At 38.2% G+C, this 5,815-nt stretch overlaps 1 pseudogene; it reads left to right on the top strand.

The window, feature by feature from the left end:
- On the top strand, positions 3,430 to 4,665 carry LOC653698 (solute carrier family 25 member 33 pseudogene; annotated as a pseudogene).

Raw genomic sequence — 5,815 nt, 5'->3', positions numbered from 1 at the left:
AGGAAAGTAAGAAAACAATTTCAGTAATATCAGAAAGAATAGAATACTTAGGAATAATTTTAACCTAATCAGGGCAAGACTTATATACTGAAAACTATAAAACACTATGGAAAGAAATTAATAAAGATCTGAATAAAATAACAGGAAGACCCCCCTTGTTCACAGATTGGAAGACTTAACTATCATTAACATGACAATACTTTCTAAGTTAGTCTACAAATTCAACACAATCTCTGTCAAGTGAGAGGAAGTTAAAAGATCATGATTCAAATGCCACAGAGCCTCACTGCTCTTAATGTTGTAGTAGATTTTCTTGAATAAATGTTTCAGCATTTGCTGTGTACCCTTAGAATAACTTCTAGAGACTTTAAGTGGGGGAGTATTATTTTTTTCATAATTGTTACTAGTTATGCTTGTTTTGCAAAGGAGAAGGTCCGTGAAGCTTCTCCCACTGCCAATCCAGAAGTGGAAACCCAGAAACCCTTTTTAAAAAAAAATTCCTACACTGAATGTCATTTCAACATGTAAAACACATACAAGTAGAACTGCTCTAATTGTGATTGGGGTAAAGTCTCCGAAGTCCATTCGGGTGGCAAGTTCTCAAATATTTCACGGACTCTAGATGACTTATTTATCAACCCTTGGATTAGATGACAGTATTCTTTCTTTTTTTTTTAACTTTTATTTTAAGTTCAGGGGTACATGTGCAGGTTGATTACATAGGTAAACTTATGTCATGGGAGTTTGTTGTACACTGTTGGTTGAAGTATAAATTAGTTCAACCATTGTGGAAGAGAGTCTGGCAATCTCTTGAAGACCTAAAGACAGAAATACCGTTCGACCCAGCAATTCTATTACTGAGTATATACCCAAAGAAATATAAATCATTCTATTATAAAGAAACATGCATGCGTATGTTCATTGTAGCACTATTTACAATAGCAAAGACATGGAATCAACCTAAATGTTCATCAATGATAGACTGAATAAAGAAAATGTGGTACACATACACCGTGGAATACTGTGCAGCCAAACAAAACAAAACAAAAAAAACAAAAGGAGATCATGTCCTTTGCAGGGACATGGATGAGCAGTGTTCTTTCAAGCCCTAATATTTGTGAAGTGTCTAATATGTTATTTATATATCTAAGAACTCTCCTCTCTCCTTTGTAAGGAAAACTGCTTTTCTTAAGTGCCATTTCTCTTCCACTCCTTCAAGGAAATCTGTTCACTTTTCCTTTTCTTCTCAGTAAATGCTATCTACGTATTTAGTGCATACTTAATTCTTTTAAGCCTTATTGACAGTTACATCAGTTTTGAGTCTAAGCCCATTAGGTAATCAGGCCTCTGAGAAGCTCATATTTTTTCAATGAGTATACCTAATAACAACTTCTAAACAACTACAGATTCTCAAATGTTTTGGGCACAACAACAAAAAATGATAAATCGGACCCTCACTGATGCTTTTAAAAGTAAATAAGCAAATCATAAGAACTCAGGGATATGGGAGATAAAAACAATGATTCTCACTGTCCAAGGATATATAAGTGGGTAGGGAAATGCCTTCAAACAAGGAGTTTACTCCTTCGACCTTTGATAAAAGGATAAGCTTTGTCAGACGGGCCCAAAGAGGAGCTTGCTGATAAGAGTTGTCACAACCACTCCACCCCTCAGAAGTCCTCTGCCCTCACCACTTGGCTGTGGAGTGACATATGTCTTCATAGCTCCTATTACCCTTGATTTTTCTTAACTGGGCCTTTCTCATTTCATGAATTTTACTACTAATCACTTGGAGAAAATAGATAATAAGTAATCAACTTGGGATTTTAATAGAAATTTCAAAATTTTCACTATCACAAGTCCATTTGGTTTATATGCTGGAGTCTTCTTGAGATGTTTCTGAGTTTTCTCCTTTGATGTTCTACTCTCTGTTATTTGTTTGTTCTCAGAGGGGGTTTCACTAGTCTCTCACTCTTCCACAAATTGTTTGTTAGCAGAAGAAACAGGAATCCTTTCCTCCATGTTATCTCCGTTTCCACAGTGGAGATTTAATAAAAATAAAATAATCAGTTTTTCCTTTCTTGAAAGTGGCAATTAATATTTTTAACTCCAGATCGAATGATGCTCAATCACTAGCTTTTTTAAGACATACTTTAGTTTGTCAATTTTTCCAATTGGAATAGAGGATTAGAAGAGTAGAAAAGGAAAAAAACTAAGAAATATTATGTAAATAAAAATTTTGGCTGGAGAAGGAAATAAATGGTAAGTACATGGGTGGATATCTAACTACTATTTTTGGGCAAAATGCAAAGAAAATAGTCTGTTTTTTAGTATTTGATCGATCTTTTCTTGGGCTCCTTTTTCCAGCAGTCCAGATCATTGGTTGTGATTAAGATTTCAGGTTGTCAGCTTCAGTTGAATTTGCTCTCTGAAGAATGTTTTACATTATCTTCTTTGTTCATTAAGCTAGACTTTAACACATCATGCTTTTTCTTATCTAAATTGCCAATGATATTAGTGTTATTATTGCATAAATTATTTGTGTATTGGTGTTCTGTATATTTCTATAATTGTAAACCATAAATACTCTTAGTCATGCATAGAATATTTGCTGTTCTTTGGAAAGAAGCATTTGAGTTCATAGATAATTCATAGAGAATTTTGCTTCTTTTAGATGGCATCTCTGTGTTCACATATTTTTTACCTTCTTTGCTTTCTTGTCTTATCTACAGATATGACCTCTGATTTTTCTTACATTTAGTATGGGCCATAGGTACTTAGCCCCATCATATGTATTGGTCCTCTGCCTCTAATCCCTCCAACAACAACAACGACAACAAAATCCAATCTGCGTAACACCTCCATATAATTCTTTCTATGCACTATTTTTTCACACAATTCCACTCTTCAAAGGGCAATAGTCTTCCACTGCATATATATTACATACAGAATAAATTCAAATACTTTGGGCTGATACCCATAGATTTTTGCTATTTTGTTCTTGCTGCCCACTTTTCTACTATTGTTTTAGTTTATAAGCACCAAACTAAGCATTCATTTTTCTCATTTTCTGAAGCAGAGGTGGAAACCTTGCCTGTTCATATGCAGATTATCATGTAGGTTATTACATGAAGATTATCATGTAGATTATTACATAAAGAATAATTCCTCTGGATTCCTACCAAACCATGTCAATTACTGGGGAGGCTACAAGTGTTAGAGTTTGTGTCTGAAGGGCCTTATGCACAATAGGAATGATATCCTCTTGTCGGGGGAAAGACTTGTCATTCAAAATAAAAGAGTTCTATATCTGTACAGATAGTAGATATATGATAAACTTTTCCACTGTAATTCTCAGAATCAACTGAAATCTACCACAGTTGGGGGAGAGCAGTAAGGCTATTAATGTCACATGAAAGTTGATGCTGCCCCCGCCGGGCTCGCGCCGCAGAGGCCGGTGAGGCGCGGGCGGCCACGCCGCGGAAGGCGCGGGCTGAGCAGAGCCGGGCGTTGGAGCCCGCGCGCGCATGGAGGCGTTGCCGGCAGCCCCCTGAGGGCAGCGTGGAGACAAGACCCGGCGACCTCCGCGCATCCCTCGAGCCGCCACGCGCTCTCGCCACCGGGCGGCGACGGGCCGCGGAGCCGGCGCGGCCATGGCGACGGGCGGCCAGCAGAAGGAGAACACGCTGCTTCACCTCTTCGCCGGCGGGTGTGGAGGCACAGTTGGTGCTATTTTCACTTGTCCACTAGAAGTCATTAAGACACGGTTGCAGTCTTTAAGATTAGCTCTCCGGACAGTCTACTATCCTCAGGTTCATCTGGGGACCATTAGTGGAGCTGGAATGGTGAGACCAACATCCGTGACACCTGGACTCTTTCAGGTTCTGAAGTCGATCTTGGAGAAAGAGGGACCAAAGTCACTTTTTAGAGGCTTGGGTCCAAATTTGGTTGGAGTTGCACCATCAAGGGCTGTATACTTTGCATGTTACTCCAAAGCCAAAGAGCAATTTAATGGCATTTTCGTGCCTAACAGCAATATTGTGCATATTTTCTCAGCTGGCTCTGCAGCTTTTATCACAAATTCCTTAATGAATCCTATATGGATGGTTAAAACCCGAATGCAGCTAGAACAGAAAGTGAGGGGCTTTAAGCAGGTGAATACACTCCAGTGTGCTCGTTACGTTTACCAGACCGAAGGCATTCGTGGCTTCTATAGAGGATTAACTGCCTCGTATGCTGGAATTTCCGAAACTATAATCTGCTTTGCTATTTATGAAAGTTTAAAGAAGTATCTGAAAGAAGCTCCATTAGCCTCTTCTGCAAATGGGACTGAGAAAAATTCCACAAGTTTTTTTGGACTTATGGCAGCTGCTGCTCTTTCTAAGGGCTGTGCCTCCTGCATTGCTTATCCACACGAAGTTATAAGGACGAGGCTCCGGGAAGAGGGCACCAAGTACAAGTCTTTTGTCCAGACGGCGCGCCTGGTGTTCCAGGAAGAAGGCTACCTCGCCTTTTATAGAGGACTGTTTGCCCAGCTTATCCGGCGGATCCCAAATACTGCCATTGTGTTGTCTACTTATGAGTTAATTGTGTACCTGTTAGAAGACCGTACTCAGTAACAGGCCGGAAAATTGTGCTCTAGAAGAATAAAACTGAAAAACTCTAAAAAAAAAAAAAAAAAAAAAAAGTTGTTGCTTAGGGCTTAGGGATATAGTACTGGGAATATTTCAGTGAGGAGGTTGGAAACCAGAAAGTATTGTCTGCTATGACAAGAGTGTTGGGTATGTGAAAGTGTGCCTGTACTACATATGCTCACTTTGAACTTACTTAACTGTTATTACCTTGAATAATGAGTTTTACTTTATAGCACTTAAAGACACCTTTCTCCATCAGATACAGGTTCTTGGTCTTTGACTGAAGATATAAAAATCATATAAATGATTAAAGATATAAAAAGAGATAAATAGATATAAATGGTTTAAGTGGCTTTCTTCCCTGAAAATTCCTTAAGGGAAGGACTCTGCTTTCTGAAGCTTTTCATCTCCCATTTTACTACATACATTTCCTGTACTTGCCCGTAGGTAATAGTTCGTTTGTATCTATTTTCTGAATATATGTTTTGAAGAAACATATAATATATTCTCCTCATTCCCAGGGGATACATTCTGAAAACCCTCTGGGATAGTTACTTATCAAATATTTATTATCAACTGTGTACAGGCACGATTCTCTTTTCTATGGACATAGCAGTGAACAGATGAAGTTTTTATTTCTAATGTGAAATGTCACATAGTTTTCTACTCAAAGATCTTTTTCAATGTTTTTCTTTTTCCTGATTAACTTAGAAAATGGGCAAGTCATATAGGCTTACTGTGTGTATGTGTGTGTGTGTGTGTGTGTATGCAGAATACACAATTGGAAGCACTTGGTGTCCTGAAAAGTGCCAAGTACAAAAGACTCAGGTTTGATTCCTACTACTCCATTTACTAACTAAATAGAGGGAAGTTGCATAAACCCTCACTTTTTGTTTGTTTGCCTTTTTTTATATGTATTTTAATGGGAGTACTTTTGTACAAATACCTCATTAAGGCTAAGAACACTTATCATATTCAGACTGCAGGTTTCAAATGTTGATTCTGCCACTTCACACTTACCGGCTGTGTAACCTTAGGCAAGTTTTATGTCCCTTTTGTCCTCCAGTTTTCTCATCTGTAAAATACAAATATAACATATCTCATAGGGTTATTCTGAGGTTCAAATGAGTTCCTGTGTGTGAAGTGCTTTGAATAATACCTGGCATACAGTGGTATATGAG

The sequence above is a fragment of the Homo sapiens genome, chromosome 11 (assembly GCF_000001405.40).
Source record: "Homo sapiens chromosome 11, GRCh38.p14 Primary Assembly".
NCBI lineage: Eukaryota > Metazoa > Chordata > Mammalia > Primates > Hominidae > Homo > Homo sapiens.
The sequence above is the reverse complement of the archived record's forward strand: the minus strand, read 5'-3'. Positions and strand labels throughout refer to the sequence as shown.